We start from the raw sequence: 23,982 nt of genomic DNA, 5'->3' as shown, positions 1-23,982 counted from the left end.
TAGGCAGAAATTTATAGACAGTTTAAATGAAGAATGCCGCGCTTCCATTGGTTGAAAATGCCTCAAAGGCGGGGTTTCTAACCCTGACCAATAGAAAGGCTGATTTCCCGTCCCAACAGAGGCGCGCTTTTTTCACACTTCACGAATACGCAGGCGCCAAAGGGCCTGTAACGCCTGTTCAGGTAACGAGTGCGCGGACTCGGACTCCAGTGCTTGGATTGCCCATGATGTCCAATGAGGACGCAGGAGCTGTGCTTGGGGCGGGGCCTGGCGTGTATTCGAAAGGAAGGCGCCGGCTGCGGGAAGATGGCGGCTCAGCCGCTGCGGCATCGCTCACGTTGTGCAACGCCGCCCCGGGGGGACTTTTGTGGTGGCACTGAGAGGGCGATTGACCAAGCTTCTTTTACGACCTCCATGGAGTGGGATACGCAGGTGGTGAAGGGGTCCTCGCCGCTCGGCCCCGCAGGGCTGGGGGCTGAGGAGCCAGCCGCCGGCCCGCAGCTGCCGTCTTGGCTGCAGCCTGAGAGGTGCGCTGTGTTCCAGTGCGCACAGTGTCACGCAGTGCTCGCCGACTCGGTGCACCTCGCCTGGGACCTGTCGCGGTCCCTCGGGGCCGTGGTCTTCTCCAGTGAGTGCAGTGAAGCGTTCGGGAAAGGCAGAGGCTAGCCCGAGAGGGTGTTCCCGCTTTCTCCACCGGGTGGCGGAGAACCACCTGGGGAAGAAAACGGGATGAAAAGTTGGAAGCAAATAACTCCTTGGCCTGGGGATGGGGCAGGGAATCGGGGAGTCTCCTGATATTTACGGCCAGGATGAGTCTGTCTAGAGGAGAGATTTTCCATTTCAAGGCCCGCAGAGTATGGGTTCTGACCCGTGTTTGTCTTCCTAGGAGTTACAAATAACGTCGTTTTGGAAGCGCCCTTCCTAGTTGGCATTGAAGGTTCACTCAAAGGCAGGTACGTATTGATAATTACATTGGTCTCTAGTCCCTGACTTTATGAGACTGAGGATCGTGGAACTGACATGTACGAGGAGAAAACAGTTTGGGATGCTGCTTTTACCTGTTTGACTCTTATATGAACTTGATGTATTAATGAAATGAAAAAGTTGTATTTGTGTATTGGTTTTAGGATCTTCCTGAGGGCCACTTCTCCCAGGTGGCTTGTACAAGTGAAGTGAGGCTAAGAAAGATGTATCTAGTAGTGGACAAAAGAAAAAAATAACCTTTTGGTTTACAGTGAGAATAACATACTATAAACTACAATCCTTTTAGATATTAGAACTTTTTGATACAGGGTCTTGCTCTCGCCCAGGCTGGAGTGCACTGGTGCGCTCATAGCTCACTACAGCCCCTACCTTCCTGGCTCAAGCTATCCTCCCAACCTCACCCTCCGGAGTAGCTGGGACTACAGGCACACAGCACCACTCCCGGCTAATTTTTAAATTTTTTGTAGAGGCCTTAGTATGTTGCCCACGCTTGATATTAGAACTTTTAAGTTTGCGATTATGGTTAGTTTGTAATAAGCTATGCCAGGGCTAATTCTTCAGTAACCCCAGAAACTGGAGAAAAACACAACTAGAATGTTATGTACTTGAATACTGCCTGGTAAACTTTGCGACCTGCCTGTACTATGATTTACAAGTGACAATAAAGTAGTCAGTGAATTTGGTATTGCAAGGCTCCTCAATTTTGAGTTTTGGCTTTAACATTGAGACAATTCATTTCATTCTGACCAGTTTGATTCAACGTTACGGTTAAAATATAGGAATTCTTAGTTGCTTTGTCCAGTAACCAGGAAGATTTCTGCAGCTTGGACAAACTTCAAAAACGGAGTTAGACCCACAGCTCCCTTTCTTTTTCCTGAATAAAAGACACTCCCTATCGCTATAGGAGTCCCCTTCCCACCCAAAGGGGACAAAGCAAGAAGGAGCAATTGCCTGCTTGGAATTGGGTGTATTCTGGGGCCAGAGGCAGAAGGTTCCTGAATGTGCTCTTGGAGAGGAGGCTAATGAATCTAGACCCGTGCTGTCCTATACTGTAATCACTAGTCATATGTAGCTATTATATATTATTAAATCTGCATTGAGATATGCTGTGAACACAGAATACACACTGGATTTCAAAGACTTAGTACAGAAAAATTAATCATTTACAAATACTGATTACGGGCCGGGCGTGGTGGCTCACACCTGTAATCACAGCACTTTGGGAGGCCGAGGCGGGCGGATCACAAGGTCAGGAAATCGAGACCATCCTGACTAACACGGTGAAACCGTGTCTCTACTAAAAATACAAAAAATTAGCCAGGCATAGTGGCGGGCGCCTGTAGTCCCAGCTACTCAGGAGACTGAGGCAGGAGAATGGCGTGAACCCGGGAGGCGGAGCTTGCAGTGACCGAGATTGCGCCACTGCATTCCAGCCTGGGCGACAGACTCCGTATCAAAAAAAAAAAAAAAAAAATACTGATTACGGCTGGGAGCGGTGGCTTACGCCTATAATCCCAGCACTTTTGGGAGGCCATGACAGGCAGATCACCAGAGGTCGGGAGTTCGAGACCAGCCTGACCAAAATGGAGAAACCCTGTCTCTACTAAAAATACAAAATTAGCCGGGCATGGTGGCACATGCCTGTAATCCCAGCTAGGCTGTAATCCCAGGAGGCTGAGGAGGGAGAATCGCTTGAACCCGGGAGGTGGAGGTTGTGGTGAGCCGAGTTCACGCCATTGCACTCCAGCCTGGGCAACGAGAGCGAAACTCTGTCTTAAAAAAAAAAATTGATTACATGGTGAAATGACATTTTTGATATATTGGGTTAAATAAAATATTTAAAAACTAATTTCACCTGTTTTTATTTTATTTTTTAAAGCAAAATTAGGCCAGGCGCCGTGGCTGATGCATGTAATCCCAGCACTTTGGGAGGCCAAGGCGGATGGATCACGAGGTCAGGAGTTCAAGACCAGCCTAGCCAAGATAGTGAAACTGTTTCTACTAGAAATACAAAAATTAGCTGGGCGTGGTGGCGGGCGCCTGTAATCCCAGCTACTTGGGAGACTGAGGCAGAGAATTGCTTGAATCTGGTAGGCGGGGGTTGCAGTGAGCCAAGATCATCCCACTGTACTCCAGCCTGGGCAACAGAGCGAGACTCTTCCTCAAAAAAAAAAGCAAAATGAATAGAAAATTTAAAATTACATATGTGACTCACATTATATTCCTATTAGACAATGCTTGTTTAGATGCTTTGTAAAAAACTGGAGGAAGGCCAGGTGCAGTGGCTTACACCTATAATCCCAGCACTTTGGGAGGCCAAGGCAGGCAGATCACAAGGTCGGGAGTTCGGGACCAGCCTGGCCAGTATGGTGAAACCACGTCTCTACTAAAAGTACAAAAATTAGGGGGGCGAGGTGGCAAGCGCCTATAGTCCCAGCTACTTGGGAGGCTGAGGCAGGAGAATGGCTTGAACCTGGGAAGCAGAGGTTGCAGTGAGCCAAGATCGCACCACTACACTCCAGCCTGGACGACAGATCGAGACTCCGTCTGAAAAAAAAAAAAAAAAAAAACTAGAGGGAAAGCCCCATGTGTTTCTGTATTTGTGGAGTAAGATGAGCTATATGGGACTTACGAAGAGGGTTATGAAATGGCACAGCTCAAGACAACTTGATTTTTTTCTAAGTGTAGGTTCATTACCTAGATGGGGTCAGAGAATGAATTAAGAGGATGATTAATGATGCAGCTAAAAGAGCATAAATTTTAGAGACAGCAGACTCGGGTTCTTTTTATTCTTTTTTTTTTTTTTTTTTTTTTTTTTTTGAGATGGAGTCTTGCTCTGACCCAGGCTGGAGCACAGTGGCGGGATCTTGGCTCGCTGCAACCTCCGCCTCCCGGGTTCAAGCTATTCTCCTACCTCAGCCTCCCGAGTAGCTGGGATTCCAGGCGCACGCCACTATGCCTGGCTAATTTTTGTATTTTTATATTTTTAGTAGAGACGGGGTTTCACCATGTTGGCCATGCTGGTCTCGAACTTCTGACCTTGTGATCCACCTGCCTCAGCCTCCCAAAGTGCTGGGATTACAGGTGTGAGCCACCGCACCAGGCCTTAACTTTACTCTTAATGAGGCATGTGAAATAAATTGATCCCTCTCAATCTGTCATATTTGAATACTCCTAAAATATACTCCCTCCGACATTTATTTAAACATTCTACAATTGGCATGAACCTCTTAGATTCAAAGTCATAAAGTAGACAGATACAAGGTTACTTCCGTCTACATTTTATTGTTCTCTTACTGGTAGAGGATTTATTGTAACTAATTTTAAAAAGGATTATTATAGTATGTTGACACTTAGAAATAGCTTTTTTACCCTGAGCTTTTGTTGTGCTCAACAGCATATTTAAATGGAATTTTGTTTGTATTATAAGTGAAGTACATTTTTTTCTAATTGTTATGGCAAATTCAAACCCGAGAGAAGAATATAATGAACCTCTGTCTACCTGTCACTAAACTAGAGCACTTATCAACTCTTGGCCAATCTTGTTTCATCTAAAATCATAGTTGGCTTATCATGCTGGCTCACGCCTGTAATCCCAACACTTTTGGAGGCCAAGGTGGGAGGATCACTTGAACCCAGGAGTTCAAGACCATCATGAGCAACATAGCGAGACTTCATCTCTAAAACAAAACAAAATATCTATCCTCCACAATGTTTTGAAGCAGATACCTGAAATTACATCATTCCATCCATAAATATTTTGGTAAGGATCTTTATAAGAAACTTTTTTCTATTTATTTATTTTTTGAGATGGAGTCTGGCTCTTTTACCCAGGATGGAGAACAACCTCCGCCTCCCAGGCTCAAGCCATCCTTTCACCTCAGCCTCCCAAGTAGCTAGGACTATAAGGCATGCACCACCATGCCCAGCTAATTTGTTGTAGAGATAGGGTTTCAACATGTTGCCCAGGCTGGTTTTGAACTCCTGAACTCAAGTGATCTGCCCACCTTTGCTTCCCAAAGTGCTGGCATTACAAGCATGAGCCACTGCACTCAGCCTTTCTTTTCAATTATTTTATTTTATTTTTTATTTTTTTGAGATGGAGTCTTGCTCTGTAGCCCAGGCTGAAGTGCAGTGGCAGGATCTTGGCTCACTGCAAACTCCGCCTCCCGGGTTCAAGTGATTCCCCTGCCTCAGCCTCCCGAGTAACTGGGACTACAGGTGCATGCCACCACATCTGGCTAATTTTATGTATTTTAGTAGAGACGGGGTTTCACCATGTTGGCCAGGATGGTCTTAATCTCCTGACTTCGTGATCCTCCCACCTCAGCCTCCCAAAGTGTTGGGATTACAGGCGTGAGCCACTGCGCCCAGCCTCTTTTCTTTTTAAAGATATATCCCAATTCTGGCTGGGTACAGTGACTCACGCCTGTAATCCCAGCACTTTGGGAGGCCGAGGCGGGAGGATCACGAGGTCAGGAGTTCAACACCAGCCTGGATGACATAGCGAAACCCCATCTCTACTAATACAAAAATTTGCTGGGCGTGGTGGTGGGCGCCTGTAATCCCTGCTACTGGGGAGGCTGAGGCAGGAGAATCGCTTGAACCCAGGAGGCGGAGGTTGCAGTGAGCCGAGATCACACCATTGCACTCCAACCTGGGTGACAAGAGGAAGACTCCATCTCAGAAAAAAAAAAAATTTAAACATACCACAAACACTATAATAAGCCCCAGGTACCCAGTTTCAACAGTTATTAATATTTTGACAATTATTTTCCTCTATACTCTTCACTTTTTTTTTTTTTTAATTCCTGGAGTATTTTGAAACAAATCACATACAGTAAATCAACTCTTCATCACTTTGGTATTACTTCCTGTTGTCTTGTAGATTCACAGACTGTTATAACCAAAAAAATAACATAATCTAGTTGACCTCATTCTACTGATAAGGATATGGAGAAACAGTTGTATTTGGTAGTGTATTGGAAGTATTTTCCTCCTATAATATTCTCCAGTGCCCATGATCCAATGTAATGATGGAAGGCCCAGCAAGCTAGGTGATGCTAACCCTTAGTGGCAGAGCAAGGCAACCCAAAGCAGCTCAGCACGGATGGTTAGAGACGTAGTACCTACTGTGGTAAGATTGTTAAAAACATGGGGCCGGGCACGGTGGCTCACACCTGTAATGCCGGCACTTTGGAAGGCCTAGGTGTGCAGATCACCTGAGGTCAGGAGTTCGAGACCAGCCTGGCCAACACGGGGAAACCCCGTGTCTAGTAAAAGACAAAATTAGCCAAGCGTGGTGGTGCACGCCTGTAATCCCAGCTACTCACTTGGGAGGCCGAGTCAGGAGAATCACTTGAACCTAGGAGACGGAGGTTGTGGTAAGCCAAGATCACGCCATTGCACTCCAGCCTGGGGAATGAGCGAAACTCCATCTCAAAAAATCACAAACAAAAAACAATAAGGAGCCACAGACTATACACATGATCAGAGGCAAAGTGTGGGAATGAAGTTCTTTTTTTCTTCTACAGTGGTCAACTTAGGATAAATTTTTTTAAATCATAAACCATGGTTTAGCCACTGAGGCACCGCTATATCATTAATCTCACTATCTGAACTTATTGCAATTTTCTTTTCCTTGTTTTATAGTAATATTCAATAAAATATACTGTGTTTTACTGCACTTGCAGATACTGCTTTTTTGTTTGTTTGTTTTTTTGAGATGGAGTCACACTCTGTCACCTAGGCTAGAGTCCAGTGGCATTATCTCGGCTCACTGAAACCTCTGCCCCCTGGCTTCAAGCAATTCTTCTGCCTTAGCCTCCCTAGTAGCTGGGATGACAGGTGTGCCCTACCACACCCAGCTAACTTTTGTATTTTCAGTAGAGACAGGGTTTTGCCATGTTGGCCATGCTGGTCCTGAACTCCTGACCTCAAGTGATCTGCCCACCTTGGCCTTCCAGAGTGCTGGGATTACAGGTGTGAGCCACTATGCCCAGCCCAGGTAATGCAATTTTTTTTTTTTTTTTTTGAGACGGAGTCTTGCTCTGTTGCCCAGACAGAAGTGCAGTGGCATGATCTTGGCTCACTGCAACCTCCACATCCCGGGTTCAAGCAACTCTCCTGCCTCAGCCTCCCTAGTAGCTGGGATTACAGGTGCGTGCCACCACGCCCAGCTAATTTTTGTATTTTTATTAGAGATGGGTTTCGCCGTGTTTGCCAGGCTGGTCCTGAACTCCTGACCTCAAATGATCCACCTGCCTTGGCTTCCCATAGTGCTGGGATTACGGGTGTGAGCCACTGCGCCCAGCCCAGGGACTGCATTTTTTTTTTTTTTTAACAAATTGAAGGTTTGTGACAAGCTTTTGTTGAGCAAGTCTGTTGACACCATTTCTAACAGCATGTGCTCACTTTGTGTCTCTGTGTCACATGTTGGTAATTCTGGCAGTTTTTATTTTTATTATTTATTTATTTTGAGACGGAGGCTCGCTCTGTCACCCAGGCTGGAGTGCAGTGGCGTGATCTAGGCTCACTGCAAGCTCAGCCTCCTGGGTTCACACCATTCTCCTGCCTCAGCCTCCCGAGTAGCTGGGACTTACAGGGGCCCGCCACCACACCCGGCTAATTTTTTTGTAGTTTTAGTAGAGATGGGGTTTTACCATGTTAGCCAGGATGGTCTTGATCTCCTGACCTCATGACCTGCCTCCCTCGGCCTCCCAGAGTGCTGGGATTACAGCCACTGCGCCCGGCCAATTCTGGCAGTTTTTAAAACCTTTTCATCATTATGTCTGTTAACACTGATCTGTGATCAGTGATCTTTGCTGTTACTATTGTAATTGTGGGATGCCACAAACCGCACCCATTGAAGATAGCAAACTTAATCAATACATGCCTGTGTTTTGACTTCCACCAACTAGCCATTCAGTCTTGCCTTCTCAGGCCAATTAATAACCCAACAATGGCCTTTAAGTGTTCAAGTGAAAGAAAAAGTTGCAAGTCTCTCATTTTAAATCAAAAGCTAGAAATGATTAAGCTTAGTGAGGAAGGCATGTGAAGTCATGCCAAATTGTGAATATGAAGAAAAAAAATGGGGTTAGGCGCGGTGGCTCACGCTTGTAATCCCAGCACTTTTGGGAGACTGAGGCGGGTGGATCACATGAGGTCAGGAATTCAAGACCAGCCTGACCAACATGGTGAAACCCCATCTCTACTAAAAATACAAAATTAGCCGGGCATGGTGGCGCACACCTGTAATTCCAGCTCTTTGGGAGGCTGAGGCAGGAGAATTGCTTGAACCCGGGAGGCGGAGGTTGCAGTGCACCAAGAACACACCATTGCACTCCACCTTGGGCAACAAGAGCGAAACTCCATCAAACAAACAAACAAATAAATAAATGGAAATTAAAAGTGCTATTCCAGTGATAAGCTGATATGGAGAAAGTTTGAGTGGTATGAGTAGAAGATCAAATCAGCCACAACATTCCTTTAAACTAAAGCCTAATCCAGAACAAGGCCCTAACTCTGTTCAATTCTGTGAAGGCTGAGAGGTGAGGAAGCTGCAGAAGAAGTTTAGAGTATCAAATGTTGGCTCGGTGCAATGGCTCACGCCTGTAATCCCAGCACTTTGGGAGGCCGAGGTGGGTGGACTGGTTGAACCCAGGAGTTTGAGACCAACCTGGGCAACATGGTGAAATGCTGTCTCTACAAAATACAAAAAAATTTAGCCGGATGTGGTGGCGCACACCTATAGTCCCAGCTGCTTGGGAGGCTGAGAAGGAAGGCTGGCTTGAGCCCAGAGAGGTCGAGGCTGCAATGGAGCTGTGATTGTGCCACCACACTCCAGCCTGGGTGGGTGACAGAGCAAGACCATCTTAAAAAAAAAAAAAAAAAAAAAAGCAGAGGTTGGTTCATGAGATTTAAGGAAAGAAACCTTCTCCATAACAAAAGTCCAAAGTGAAACAGCAAGTACTGATGCAGAAGCTACAGAAAATGAAAGTGGGTACACTAAAGAACATATTTTCAGTGCAGATGAAACAGCCTTCTGTTGGAAGAAGATACCATCTCAGACTTTCATAGGTAGAAAGGAGAAGTCATTACCTGGCTTCAAAGGAGCTGGTCACAGTGACTCACATGTGTAATCCCAGCACTTTGGGAGACCAAAGTGGGAGGATTGCTTGAGCACAGGAGTTCAAGACCAGCCTGGGCAACATAGCAAGAACCTGTCTCTACGAAAAATTTAAAAATTAGATGGGCATTTTAGTGTGTACCTGTGGTCCCAGCTACTTGGAAGGCTGAGGTGGGAGGATCACTTGAGTCTGGGATGTCAAGGCTGTAGTGAGCTGTGATTGTACCACTGCACTCCATCCAAAAGAAAAAGAAAAAAAAGCTTCAAAGGACAGGCTTTCTTGTTAGGGGCTATTGCAGCTGGTGACTTTAAGTTGAAGTCAATGCTCATTTACTATTACTATCTATAGCTACTATAGATAGTTATTCCTCTGATGGATCTGGGCAAAGTAAATCAAAAACCTTCTGGAAACCCAGCTAAATTTTGTATTTTTAGTAGAGACGGAGTTTCACCATGTTGACCAGGCTGTTCTCAAACTCCTGATCTCAAGTGATCTGCCTGCCTCCCAAAATGCTGGGATTACAAGCGTGAGCCATTGCGCCCGAATGGAAATTAAATTAATTTCCACTGAGACATTTGTTTATAAGTACTGTGCTTTGTCTGAATTAATTAATTCCTACGTGGAATTTCAAATTAATGACACTTTATTTCATATTTTGCTTTTTGGTTAACTATATTCACAAGATTACATTACTATATGTGTGGTGTGGGTGTGGGACTTCATTTACCAATAAACTCAATATATTGTTATTTGTTCTTTTTTAGTATCCACTGACATGAATATTTCTTTTTAGCTATGTGATTTTTTTTTTTCTTTTTTAAGATGGAGTTTCGCTCTTGTTGCCCAGGCTGGAGTGCAGTGGCACAATCTCCGCTCACTGCAACCTCCGCCTCCCAGGTTCAAGCGATTCTCCTGCCTCACCCTCCTAAGTAGCTGGGATTACAGGCACCCGCCACCAGGCCTGGCTAATTTTTTTATTTTTAGTAGAGACAGGGTTTCGCCACGTTGGCCAGGCTGGTCTCGAACTCCTGACCTCAGGTGATCCACCCGCCTTGGCCTCCCAAAGTGCTGGGATTACAGGCGTGAGCCATCATGCCCGGGCTAGCTATGTGATTTTTATGTTGTATTTTGTTAATAGAATTCTCCTAGCCTGGGAAACAAAGTAAGACCCCATTTCTGCCAAAAAAAAAATTAGTAGGGCATGGTAGCATGCACCTGTAGTCCCAGCTTTGGGAAGCTGAGGCAGGTAGATCAGTTGAGCCCAGGAATTCAAGGCTGCAGTGAGCTATGATTGTATCACTACGTTCTAACCTGGGCGACAGAGCAAGAACTTGTCTCAAAAAAAAACCAAAAAAAACTTCATACTATATATTAATACAATTTATTTTTCCTTTACCAAACCACTTTAAAATTGCTTTTAGCACATGCATGATGAAATATTTTCTTAAAGTGCTTTTCTTGTAAAACATTTATTTATTTTTTAAGACGGGGTATTACCATGTTGCCTAGGCTGCTCTCGAATTCCTGGGCTCAAGCTATCTGCCCACTTTGGCCTCTCATAGTGCTGGGATTACAGTAGGTGTGAACCACTGTGCCTGACCAAAATGTTTCTTTCTAATATTTAAATATGTCTTATATACCAGCAAATATGATGACTTGCTCAAGAATTGTAATGAGAGCTAAAATCAACATCTGACTCTTCATCAGTAATCTTTTCAGAGGATAAGGAAAACAAAATAGATGGCTTGCTAGGGTAATAGGATTCCCTTTTCTTTCTCTTTTAGTCTGCGCATTTTTTTCTTTTTTATTTATTTATTTATTTATTTATTTTTTTATTGATCATTCTTGGGTGTTTCTCGCAGAGGGGGATTTGGCAGGGTCATAGGACAATAGTGGAGGGAAGGTCAGCAGATAAACAAGTGAACAAAGGTCTCTGGTTTTCCTAGGCAGAGGACCCTGCGGCCTTCCGCAGTGTTTGTGTCCCTGGGTACTTGAGATTAGGGAGTGGTGATGACTCTTAAGGAGCATGCTGCCTTCAAGCATCTGTTTAACAAAGCACATCTTGCACCGCCCTTAATCCATTTAACCCTGAGTGGACACAGCACATGTTTCAGAGAGCACAGGATTGGGGGTAAGGTCATAGATCAACAGGATCCCAAGGCAGAAGAATTTTTCTTAGTACAGAACAAAATGAAAAGTCTCCCATGTCTACTTCTTTCTACACAGACACAGCAGCCATCCGATTTCTCAATCTTTTCCCCACCTTTCCCCCTTTTCTATTCCACAAAACTGCCATTGTCATCATGGCCCATTCTCAATGAGCTGTTGGGTACACCTCCCAGACAGGGTGGTGGCCGGGCAGAGGGGCTCCTCACTTCCCAGTAGGGGCGGCCGGGCAGAGGCGCCCATCACCTCGCGGACGGGGCGGCTGGCCGGGCGGGGGGCTGACCCCCCCACCTCCCTCCAGGACGGGACGGCTGGCCGGGCGGGGGGCTGGACCACCCCACCTCCCTCCCGGACGGGGCGGCTGGCCGGGCGGGGGGCTGACCCCCCCACCTCCCTCCTGGACGGGGCGGCTGGCTGGGCGGGGGGCTGACCCCCCACCTCCCTCCCCGACAGGGTGGCTGCCGGGCGGAGACGCTCCTCACTTCCCAGATGGGGTGGCTGCCGGGCGGAGGGGCTCCTCACTTCTCAGACAGGGAGGCTGCCGGGCGGAGGGTCTCCTCACTTCTCAAGATGGGGCAGCCGGGCAGAGACGCTCCTCACCTCCCAGGCAGGGTCGCGGCCGGGCAGAGGCGCTCCTCACATCCCAGACGGGGCGGCAGGGCAGAGGCGTTCCCCACATCTCAGACCATGGGAGGCCGGGCAGAGACGCTCCTCACTTCCTAGATGGGATGGCGGCCGGGAAGAGGCGCTCCTCACTTCCTAGATGGGATGGCGGGCGGGCAGAGACGCTCCTCACTTTCCAGACTGGGCAGCCAGGCAGAGGGGCTCCTCACATCCCAGACGATGGGTGGCCAGGCAGAGACGCTCCTCACTTCCCAGACGGGGTGGCGGCTGGGCAGAGGCTGTAATCTCGGCACTTTGGGAGGCCAAGGCAGGCGGCTGGGAGGTGGAGGTTGTAGCGAGCCAAGATCATGCCACTGCACTCCAGCCTGGGCACCATTGAGCACTGAGTGAACGAGACGAGACTCCGTCTGCAATCCCGGCACCCTGGGAGGCCGAGGCTGGTGGATCACTCGCGGTTAGGAGCTGGAGACCAGCCCAGCCAACACAGCGAAACCCCGTCTCCACCAAAAAAATATGAAAACCTGTCAAGTGTGGCGGCGCGTGCCTGCAATCGCAGGCACTCGGCAGGCTGAGGCAGGAGAATCAGGCAGGGAGGTTGCAGTGAGCCGAGATGGCAGCAGTACAGTCCAGCTTTGGCTTGGCATCAGAGGGAGACCGTGGAAAGAGAGGGAGAGGGAGACCGTGGGGAGAGGAGGGAGAGGGAGAGGGCGCATTTTTTTCATTAACTTTCTTTTTTAATATAAGCAAAAGACAAACCTTGATTTTAGTTCTATGAACAATTTGTTTAGTAAGGCCCCAGTCAACTTGATTATTTTTCAACAACTGTGAATTTATATAATGATAGCCATTTTACATGATTTGTAGTTTTAAATGTTTAAATGTTAATCAGATTAGTTAGCTCTTTTTGTGTTTATTAGGGGTAAATTACCTTTCTCTTCTGAAGCGACAATTATACATCCATGATTGCTTTGACCAGAATATACGAGGGTATCCGCAATCCAGCATGTAATTAAATTACAATCTGAGTTACCCTTTCTTGAATGTGACATTCTTTCCGTCTCATTCCTATTACAATGTAATTTTCACCCTGACTTAGGTGTTAGGAATGCTTCAGAGACTAGTTATTTTTTATTTCTTATATGATTTTTTATTCTTACCCATATTGTGTTTTTCCCCACCCCTAGTACTTACAACCTTTTATTCTGTGGTTCTTGTGGGATTCCCGTTGGTTTCCATCTGTATTCTACCCATGCTGCCCTGGCTGCCTTGAGAGGTCACTTCTGCCTTTCCAGTGACAAAATGGTGTGGTGAGTAGACTTAGATATTGATCATCAAATACATTTTATTTTATTTATTTTGAGACAAAGTCCATCAAATAAATTTTAAAAGGTTTTTCAGGAAAGACAAAGTAGGCTGAGCACAGTGGCTTATGCCTGTAATCCCAGCACTTTAGGAGGCTGAGGCGGTGGATCACTCGAGGTCAGGAGTTTGAGACCAGCCTGGCTAACATGGTGAAACCCATCTCTACGAAAAATACAAAAATTAGCCAGGTGTAGTGGTAGACGCCTGTAATCCCAGCTACTCAGGAGGCTGAGGCACGAGAATTGTTGGAACCTGGGAGGCAGAGGCTGCAGTGAGCTGAGATCACGCCACTGTGAGATCACGCCACTGCACTCCAGCCTGGGAGACATAGTGAGATTCTGTCCAAAGGAAAAAAAAAAAAAAGTAGCTGGGCATGCTAGTGCACACCTGTAATCCCAGCTACTTGGGAGGCTGCGGCAAGAGAATTGCTTCAACCTGAGAGGTGGAGGTTGCACAGTGAGCTGAGATTGCACCACTACACTCCAGCCTGGGTGACAGAACAAGACTCTGTCTCAAAAAAAAAAAAAAGAAAAAAGACAAAGTGTTTGTACCAAAAAGATGCTAAAGTCAGGCACTGTCTTTGACAAAAAGATAGCAGTGGGCCAGGTGTGATGGCTCGCGCCTGTAATGCCAATGCTTTGTGAGGCCAAGGTGGGAGGACTGCTTGAGGGCAGGAGTTCAAGACCTCCATGGGCAATATAGTGAGACTCCTGTTTTTTTTTTATACAAAATTTTAAAAAATTAGCTGGATGTGGCGGCGTGCCCCTATAGTCCCAGTTACTTGGGAGGCTGAGGTGGGAGGATCACCTGAGCCCAGGAGTTCAAGGTTACATTTTGCTGTGATCATACCACTGCATTCCACTTTGGGTGACAAAAAAAAAAAAAAGCAGTGGGACCAAAATATAATCTTATAACATTATGATTATCTTCCATGTCTTATCATACCATATCTTAAAAGTCATACCATGGGAAAATTCAGAGGGTATTCTTTCATTAAAGAAACTTGTTGCCAGATGTGGTGGTGTGTGCCTGTAATTCTAGCTACCCAGGAGGCTGAGGCAGGAGGATCACTTGAATCTTGGTGTTTGAGACCAGCCTAGGCAACATGGTGAAGCCTCCCATCTCAAACTGCTCCCTTATGGGCCGGGTGCAGTGGCTCACGCCTGTAATCCCAGCACTTTGGGAGGCTGAGGTCGGGGGTTCACCTGAGGTCAGGAGTTCGAGACCAGCTTGGCCAACATGGTGGAACCCCATCTCCATTTAAAATACGAAAATAAGCCAAGTGTGGTGGCACACGCCTGTGGTCGCAGCTACTCGGGAGGTGAGGCAGAAGAATTGCTTGAACCCAGGAGGCGGAGGTTGCAGTGAGCCAAGATCAAGCCACTGCACTTCAGCCTGGGTGACAGAGCTAGACTCTGTCTCAGAAAAAATAAAAATAAATAAAAGATAAAAAGAACATTCTAGAAGGCAAGCTTTTGCAAAATAATGTTGCAGTAGATACCTTTTGGGTTTGTGCCCAGCCTCTCTCTCCCTCTAATAGGTGGGGCCTTGTATATTTGTATCATGTGTGATTTGTATCATGTGTGATTCCCACTCCCAGGTACTGGATCAAGAATGAATACCTGGCCAGGCATGGTGGGTCATGCCTGTAATCTCAGCACTTTGGAAGGCTGAGTTGGAGGATTGTTTGAGCTTAGGAGTTTGAGACCAGCCTAGGCAACATAGCAAGACTCTGTCTCTACAAAAAATTTAAAATATTAACTGTGTATGGTGGTGTATGCCTGTAGTCCTAGCTACTCTGGAGGCTAAGGTGGGAGGATAGCTACAGCCCAGGAGTTCAAGGTTACAGTGAGCTATGATTGTGTCACTGTATTCTAGCATGGGGAGCAGAGCAAGACCCTGTCTCTTAAAAACCAAAAACGGTGCTGGGCGTGGTAGCTCACGCCTGTAACCCCAGTACTTTGGGAGGCCGAGGTGGGCAGATCATGAGGTCAGGAGATCGAGATCATCCTGGCCAACATGGGAAACCCCGTCTCTACTAAAAATACAAAAAAAATTAGCTGGGCATGGTGGCGCATGCCTGTAATCCTAGCTACTTGGGAGGCTGAGGCAGGAGAATCACTTGAACCGGGGAGTCAGAGGTTGCAGTGAACCAAGATCGCGCCACTGCACTCCAGCCTGGCAACAGAGCGAGACTCTGTCTCAAAAAAAAAAAAAAAAAGAAAAATGGATACCTGACCCAAACTAAGCCAACCAGTTTTCTACCTTAGGAATTTGAAACAAGGGCCCAGAAATACCAGTTACGTGTAGATAGTACTAGTGTTGAAGTTTGGAAGTGAAAGCTCTATGTATGGGATAGCTATTTCCCATGTGATGCATGTAGCTGCAGGGAAGTCTTCTCTGCAGTAAAACATGAAGCAGACACAGAGAAAAGTAAAAATAATGATCATGTAGCCTCATAGTGTCAGAAAAACTACCCTACTGGTTATCCTTTCTCATGAATTACATTGGCTATTTCATTATTTTCCTAATAAATTGCACTTTTAACTTAAGCTTTTTTACTTATTACAAGAAACTGAAACATCCTTAGAAGTCTTTCCTTGACCATTAAAAAACAAAAACAAGCATTGACAACCTAGTTTATGTAGGCATTATGCTTATATCACTGAGTTCTTAATATAGTTTAAGAAAACTAGGGCTCAAAGAGGTGGAAGAGCTGAGATTTGAGCATGTCTTAACTCAAAAGCTTATTTTCCTTTCATAAAACTAAAAGGTTTCCTTTTTCTCATGTCTTTTTTTTTTTTTTTTTTTTTGAGATGGAGTCTTGCTGTGGCGCCCAGGCTGGAGTGCAGTGACGTGATCTTGGTTCACTGTAAGCTTCACCCCCTGGGTTCACACCATTCTCCTGCCTCAGCCTCCCAAGTAGCTGGAACTACAGGCGCCCACCACCACGCTTGGCTAATTTTTTGTATTTTTAGTAGAGACGGGGTTTCACTGTGTTAGCCAGGATGGTCTCGATCTCCTTGACCTCGTGATCCGCCCGCCTTGGCCTCCTAAGGTGCTGGGATTACAGGCATGAGCCACCGCGCCCGGCCGCTTTTTCTCATTTCTTATGCTTAGATAGATGTTTTTAGCTGAGTTATGGTTGACTAAACAATAAAACTTATCAGCCAGTCCTTTACCATGGGTTGCTCACTGTGCATTAGGTATACCATTTGTTCTTCATTGCAAATTTCCAACACAAAATATATACCTGAGATCCTGAGATGGATTGATCATTCTCTTTTTTTAAAGACGGAGTCTCACTCTGTCACCCAGGCTGGAAGTGCAATGGCATGATCTCAGCTCACTGCAACCTGCACCTCCTGGGTTCAAGTGATTCTCCTGCCTGGGCTTCCCAAAATGTTAAGATTACAGGCATTAATCACCATGCCCAGCCTCAATTTTTAGATTCTTTTTTTTTTTCTTTGAGACGGAGTCTTGCTCTTTCGCCCAGGCTGGAGCTGGAGTGCAGTGGCACCATCTCGGCTCACTGCAAGCTCCGCCTCCCAGGTTCACGCCATTGTCCTGCCTCAGCCTCCCGAGTAGCTGGGACTACAGGCGCCCGCCACCATGTCTGGCTAATTTTTTTGTATTTTTAGTAGAGACGGGGTTTTACCGTGTTAGCCAGCATGGTCTTGATCTCCTGCCTTGGCCACCTAAAGTGCTGGGATTACAGGTGTGAGCCACTGCGCCACCAATTTCTAGATTCTTAAGCAATTTCTATTTAGAATTAACTTTAAAGTGGGAAAAAAAACTGTAAATGTGTGCTGTTAGTAATCCCACATCTTTTTTAGAAATCAGTACAAAAGTAAATGTTCTAGAGAAGCAATAATTGCATTTTTGTTAGGGCAGTAAGCTTTTAGTAACATATTTTTAACATAAATTTGAAAAGCATTATGGGATTTTGGTTAATTTCTTAATCTTTAAAATGAGTTGGATAAAAGGTCAGGACATTCTTTTTGATTAAGTAGAAACTTTGGCCTTTTCCTCTTGGATTCGGGATGGCTGCTGCAATTACAGTCATTACATCTATTGATGATAGCATCCTAAACATGAAGGAAAAGGATATGGAGAGTATGGGAACACAAGAAAATTCCCCCTTTTCATCAGCATAAATTTTTTTTTTTTTTTTGAGACAGAGTCTTGCTCTGTCACCCAAGTTGGAACACAGTGGTGTGATCTCAGCTCATTGCAACCTCCGCCTCCCAGGTTCAAGTGATTCTCCTGCCTTGCCTCCCAAGCAGATGGGACCACAGGTGCGCTCCACCACAGCCTGCTAATTTTTGTATTTTTATTAGAAATGGGGTTTTACCATGTTTGCCAGGCTGGTCTCAAACTCCTGACCTCAGGTGATCCCCCCGCCTCGGCCTCCCAAAGTGCTGGGATTACACGCATAAGCCACTGCGCCCCGCCAGCATAAATTTTCTTAATCTTTTTTTTATTCTTTTTTTTTTTTTTTTTGAGACAGGGTCTCACTGTCACACAGGCTGGAGCGATCATGGTTCACTGCAGCCTCAACCTTTTGGGTTCAGGTGATCCTCCCAACTCAGCCTCCCAAGTAGCTGGGACTACAGGCATGCCACCACATCTGGCTAATTTTTGTATTTTTTGTAGAGATGGGGTTTCGCTGGCCAGGCATGTTGGCTCACAGCTGTAATCCCAGCACTTTGGGAGGCTGAGGCAGGCGGATCACTTGAGGTCAGGAATTCAAGACCAGCCTGTCCAATATGGTGAAACCCTGTCTCTGCTAAAAATACAAAAATTAGCTGGGCATGATGGTGGGCACCTGTAATCCCAACTGCTTGGGAGGCTGAGGCAGAAGAATTGCTTGAACCTGGAAGGCGGAGGTTGCAGTGAGCCGAGATCTCGCCATTGCACTTCAGCCTGGGTGACAGAGTAAGACTCTGTCTCAAAAAAAAAAAAAAGAGATGGAGTTTCGCTATGTTGCCCAGGCTGGTCTCAAATTTCTGATGTCAAGCCATCTGCCTGCCTCAGCCTCCCAAAGTGCTGGGATTATAGGTGTGAGCCAGCACACCCATCCCATTTTCTTACCCTTGTTGGCCAGAACTATGTCACATGATCACCTCATCTGAGAAAGCAAATATGTAACAGTAGGCTCATGGCAAAAATCTGGATTCTGTTGGCAATAAAGAAGTGAGGAAGGCTGGGCTCGGCTCACGCCTATAATCCCAGCACTTTGGGAGGCCCAGGCAGGGGGATCACCTGAGGTCAGGAGTTCGAGACCAGCCTCGCCAACATGGTGAAACCCCATCTCTACTAAAAATACAAAAATTAGCTGGGCGTGGTGGCGCAAGCCTGTAATCCCAGCTACTCGGGAGGCTGCGGCAGGAGAATCGCTTGAACCCAGGAGGCAGAGGTTGCAGTGAGCTGAGATTGTACCACTGCACTCTAGTCTGGGCAACAGAGCGAGACTCCATCTCAAAAAAAAAAAGTGAGGAACAGCTACTGGGAATAGGTGACCAACACTATGTCTCATACTGGGATTACTTTCTTTCAAACTGTGCTACAGGATCCTACTGATGAAGTGTAAAGCTTATAATCATCGTAATTATTCATATGAGCCTGGTTTTTGTCTTTAATTTACCCTGAGATAATTTTGTCTCTGGTGGGATGCGGCAGAGATCCTCTCCAATTTGTTTATTTTTGAATTTGTTTTTCCAAGAAAATGCAGTCATCCTTCAGTATCTGTGGTTCCAGGACCTCACCAGATACCAAAATCCATGGACACTCAAGTTTCTGATATTAAGTGGTGTAATATTTGCATATTACTTTTGGATATCCTCCTTTTTAAAGTATAAAAGTATATATTTTATACTTTAAAATAATCTCCAGATTACTTATGACAGCTAACGTAATGTAAATGCTATGTACATTACAAATTTACATAGGAAATTTACAAAGTTGTTGTAATGTTAAGGGAATGATGACAAGAAAAAGAGTGTACCTGTTCAGTACAGACACAATCCAGTTTTTTTTTCCTGAATATTTTTAGTCTGTGGTTGTTTGAATCCATGGATGCTATACCCATGGATATGGTGGGCCAACTGTAACATCATGAGTCTTGAAATGAAAATCATTAAGAAGCCAGGCTTTTTTTGACACATACTTTCTTTAGAAGGTAAGTTTGGTTCTTTTATAATCTTAACCATGGTATGACACTAATATTTTTCTTTTTTCCTATCTAGCTATCTCTTAAAAACAAAAGCCATAGTAAATGCATCAGAGATGGATATTCAAAATGTTCCTCTATCAGAAAAGATTGCAGAGGTAAAATTTCATGATGGTTGTATGCTTTTTTAAAATACAGACAACTCTTGATAACTTCTACCAATGAACTTGGGGATGATGAAATGGCATGATGCTCAATAATCCTTTTTACTTGATTTGACCTTCCCTATTGAATTTGTAATGAAAAACAAAATACTAAAACCACACTGTAAGGTATAGTTCAGGAAGAAAGGAAAAGCTGCTCAACTGCTGCACTCCTGCATTCTCCTTTGTGCTGGGAATGGATATCATCATCTTGCCATAGAGGTGTCTTCTTTGCAAATACCTTGTAATTGCTCAACTGTCTCAGACATAAGAGTGATGAAACAGTTATTAAGAATTCCTGGCCGGGCGTGGTGGCTCACGCCTGTAATCCCAGCACTTTGGTAGGCCAAGGCGAGCAGAACATGAGGTCAGGAGATGGAGACCATCCTGGCTAACACAGTGAAACCCCATCTCTATTACAAATACAAAAAATTAGCCGGGCGTGGTGGCACGTGCCTGTAGTCCCAGCTACTCGGGAGGCAGAGGCAGGAGAATTGCTTGAACTGGGAGGTGGAGGTTGCAGTGAGCTGAGATTGCGCCACTGCATTCCAGCCTGGGCAACAGAGCAAGACTCTGTCTCAAAAAAAAAAAAAAAAAAAATTTAGCCGGTCATGGTGGTGGGCGCCTGTAATCCCAGCTACTTAGGAGACTGAGGCAGGAGAATCGCTTGAACCCAGGTGGTGGAGGTTGCAGTGAGCCGAGACTGCGCCACTGCACTCCAGCCTGGGCAACAGAGCGAGACTGCGTCTCAAAAAAAAATAATTCTTGCCTGGGCGTGGTGGCTCACGCCTGTAATCCCAGCACTTTGGGAGGCTGAGGCGGATGGATAACCCGAGATCAGTAGTTCGAGACCAGCCTGACCAACATGGAGAAACCCTGTCTCTACTAAAAATACAAAATTAGCCGGGCGTGGTGGCACATGCCTGTAATCCCAGCTACTTGGGAGGTTGAGACAGGAGAAGCACTTGAACCTGCGAGATAGAGGTTGTTGTGAGGCAAGATCATGCCATTGCACTCTAGCCTGAGCAACAAGAGTGAAAATCTGTCTCAAAAAAAAAAAAAAGAAAAAAAGAAGGCTGGGCATGGTGGCTTATGCCTGTAATCCCAGCACTTTGGGAGGCTGAGGCAGGCAGATCACCTCAGGTCGGGAGTTTGAGACCAGCCTGACCAACATGGAGAAATCCCATCTCTACTAAAAATACAAAATTAGCCGGGCGTGTTGGCGCATGCCTATAATCCCAGCTTTTCGGGAGGCTGAGGCAGGAGAATCGCTTGAACCTGGGAGGCAGAGGTTGCAGTGAGCCGAGAGCTTGCCATTGAGAGCGAAACTCTGTGTGGAAAAAAAAAAAAAGAATTCTTATTGGCTGGGTGCGGTGGCTCACACCTGTAATCCCAGCACTTTGAGAAGCCGAGGTGGGTGGATCATGAGGTCAGGAGTTCAGCCTGGCCAAGATGGTGAAACCCCGTCTCTACTAAAACTAGAAAAATTAGCCAGGCGCAGTGGCAGGCGCCTATAATCCCAGCCCCAGCTACTCAGGAGGCTGAAGCAGGAGAATCGCTTGGACCTGGATGGCAGAGGTTGCAGTGAGCCAAGATCACGCCATTGCATTCTAGCCTGGGTGACAGTGAGAATCTATTTCAAAAATAATAATAATAATAATTGGTATGGGAAATGACTTTGGAATGGCAGTATGAGGAGTTCCATGGATAGGATCCAGGAAGAATATTATAAAGGAAACAACCATCTTAAGTCTGTGGAAATTTTCTTCAAGGTATATGGCAAATACAGAAACATTTATTTGTTTATTTATTTTTGAGACAAAGTCTCACTCTGCCTCCCAGGCTGGAATGCAGTGGCACAGTCTTGGGTCACTGCAACCCCCTCCTCCCGGGTTCAAGCGATTCTCCCACATGGAGAATCCTTGTCTCTACTAAAAATACTAAAAAGCCTCCTGAGTACCTGGGACTACAGGCGCGCACTACCGTGCCCAGATAATTTTTGTATTTTTAGTAGAGACGGGGTTTTACCATCTCTGCTAAAAATGATGGCCAGGCTGTTCTCGAACTTCCGAGCTCAGGTGACCCACCCGCCTCGGCCTACCAAACTGCTGGGATTACAGGTGTGAGTGCCAGGTTCAAGTGCTTCTGCTTCAGCCTCCCCAGTAGCTGGGAACCCAGTTGCCCTTGCCCCCAGCTTGCTTGTAGGGTGGAAATCCTATGCTGGGAGGGGCGAATGGAGATTATCAGAAGCCACTGCTCTTGCCCTGCTGAGTAACAACACTAAATTTCATGCTAAATATAGCTGTAAGAACTCTTAAAAATTACCTAATTGCAACAGTTATCTGTTCTAAACCTAATAACCAGAGTTAACTTTGCAGACCATTAGTAGAATGTTAAAGTCAGAGAGGCATTTGTTACTGTTAACAAAGTGTTAAAAGAAAAGCTAAATTCTTGCCACTGGAAAAGGAGGAGAAGCCTGTCTCCACAAAGCACTGTGACCAGACTTTATTCATCTTCACAGTAGCAGTGCTGCTCAGCAATGTTTTGTCTTTTTTCACACGAAACTTTACATCTGAGGATCTTTTTTTTTTTTTTTTTTGAGACGGAGTCTCGCTCTGTCACCCAGGCTGGAATGCAGTGGCACGATCTTGGCTCACTGCAAGCTCTGCCTCCTGGGTTCACTCATTCTCTTGCCTCAGCCTCCTGAGTAGCTGGGACTACAGGCGCCCGCCACCGTGCCCAGCTAATTTTGTTTTTGTATTTTTAGTAGAGATGGGGTTTCACCGTGTTAGCCAGGATGGTCTTGATCTCCTGACCTCGTGATCTGCCCAACTTAGCCTCCCAAAGTGCTGGGGTTAGAGGCGTGAGCCACTGCGCCTGGCCACATCTGAAGATCTTACTGTGCGCTACGTTGTTGTATAAAGTTCTTCCAGAATTAGAAGAAATTTATTCCTCAAATGCATTTAGACATTGCCAGCTCCCAATTACTAGATATAAACTAGCTTAAATTTGAAATGGTGTTTGTGACCAGCAAATTGACAGTTAAGCTTAAAATGCCCAGATATCCATCTTGGTGTGGTGGCTCATGTCTGTAATTCCAGCACTTTGGGAGGATCACTGACTGCCAGGAGTTCAACACCAGCCTGGGCAACAAAGCAAGACCCCCATCTCTACAAAGAAAATTTAAAACACATGACTGTAGTCCTAGCTAATCAGGAGGCTGAAGTGGGAGGATCACTTGAGAGCAGGAGCTTGAGGCTGCAGTGAACTATGAATGTGCCACTGTACTCCAGCTCAGGCAACAGAGTGAGACCCTGTCTCTTAAAATAAGTAAAAATAAAAAAAGATGCCCTGATATCTATATATTTCTCTTCCTAGCTGAAAGAGAAGATAGTGCTAACGCACAATCGCTTAAAATCACTAATGAAGATTCTGAGTGAAGTGACTCCTGACCAGTCCAAGCCAGAAAACTGATCCTGTACCAAAGCTTGAGTGTCAGGTTCAGGCTTTATTGCTGTCTTCAACAACAGGTGCTGCTTAGTCATTTCTTGAAAAAGATTGGCTTCAAGAATGGAGGGGAAATGCAGTTTCTATTTACCTTTAGGCTGATTTTCCAAATTATTTGTGAAGCTGTTTTTAGAAGATGAGAGACTAAGGATTCTTCTCTTTTATAGCTATTTGCCTTAAGAACTTACTTTAGATTCTTATTGAATTCATAATACTTATCTCTGAAAATGTCTTTGACTGTAAATTTAGGAATTAAGATGCAGAGTCCCATGTGTCCTCTGATCTAAAGTTGCATGGTTGGTCTGAAAATAGAGTTGGGCTTAATGTTGACTTCTATTACTCCTGCATGGAGCAGTTGTTATGAATACTAATACATCACTTTTTAACTTCTGTAAAATACAGATCATAATATTCTATAGGTAATGTTTAATAAATTGCCTGAATAATATACAATTTGTCTTTTTCAGTTGTAAACTGAGGTTAACAGAGAAATAATGAAAGCAATGATAAAACGAAACAGTTACCAAAGTACTATTTTCTATAATTTTGTTTTATGTAGCACTTTGAGTAACTTATCAAAATATTAATTTAATATATATTTGTAAAGTGTTAGACTAGGTGCTGGGGATAAAAGGTAAGCAAAAATAGACACACTATCCTTAGAATTTATAATCTAGTCAGAGAGGGACATTCAAATAATCACATAAAGATACATAAAATTACAGGCCTGGCGCAGTGGCTCACATCTATAATTCCAGATTTTCGGAGGCCGAGGCAGTGGATCACTTGAGGTCAGGAGTTCAAGACCAGCCTCGCCAACGTGGTGAAACCTCGT

At 45.4% G+C, this 23,982-nt stretch overlaps 1 protein-coding gene and 1 long non-coding RNA gene across 3 annotated transcripts in view, besides 1 other annotated feature; one reads left to right on the top strand and one right to left on the bottom strand.

Annotated features, from left to right (window-relative positions):
• Positions 264 to 523: an enhancer, noted in NCBI's record as "active region_9279". NCBI's record gives its function as "activates an Ori minimal core promoter by ATAC-STARR-seq in GM12878 lymphoblastoid cells {active_cell/tissue: GM12878}" and the evidence as "EXISTENCE:reporter gene assay evidence [ECO:0000049][PMID:35858748]".
• Positions 277 to 23,595, top strand: OIP5 (Opa interacting protein 5). 2 transcript variants are annotated; one of them, NM_007280.2, is made up of 5 exons: positions 277 to 628; positions 887 to 953; positions 13,088 to 13,210; positions 19,514 to 19,595; positions 23,019 to 23,595. In NM_007280.2, exons 1-5 carry the CDS (start codon positions 307 to 309, stop codon positions 23,112 to 23,114), a joined length of 690 nt encoding a protein of 229 aa, NP_009211.1. In that variant the 5' UTR covers positions 277 to 306; the 3' UTR covers positions 23,115 to 23,595. The 2 variants fall into 2 exon arrangements, with proteins under 2 accessions (NP_009211.1, NP_001304789.1); NM_001317860.2 differs by lacking the exon at positions 13,088 to 13,210.
• Positions 19,530 to 23,982, bottom strand: part of OIP5-AS1 (OIP5 antisense RNA 1) — a 30,642-nt gene continuing 26,189 nt past the window's right edge. Inside the window, exon 5 of the long non-coding RNA NR_152821.1 lies at positions 19,530 to 20,970. This is a non-coding gene — a long non-coding RNA (OIP5 antisense RNA 1). The remainder of the gene's footprint in view (positions 20,971 to 23,982) is intronic.

This window comes from Homo sapiens, chromosome 15, assembly GCF_000001405.40.
Source record: "Homo sapiens chromosome 15, GRCh38.p14 Primary Assembly".
NCBI classification, from domain to species: domain Eukaryota; kingdom Metazoa; phylum Chordata; class Mammalia; order Primates; family Hominidae; genus Homo; species Homo sapiens.
This window is presented reverse-complemented; position numbering and strand designations above follow the sequence as displayed.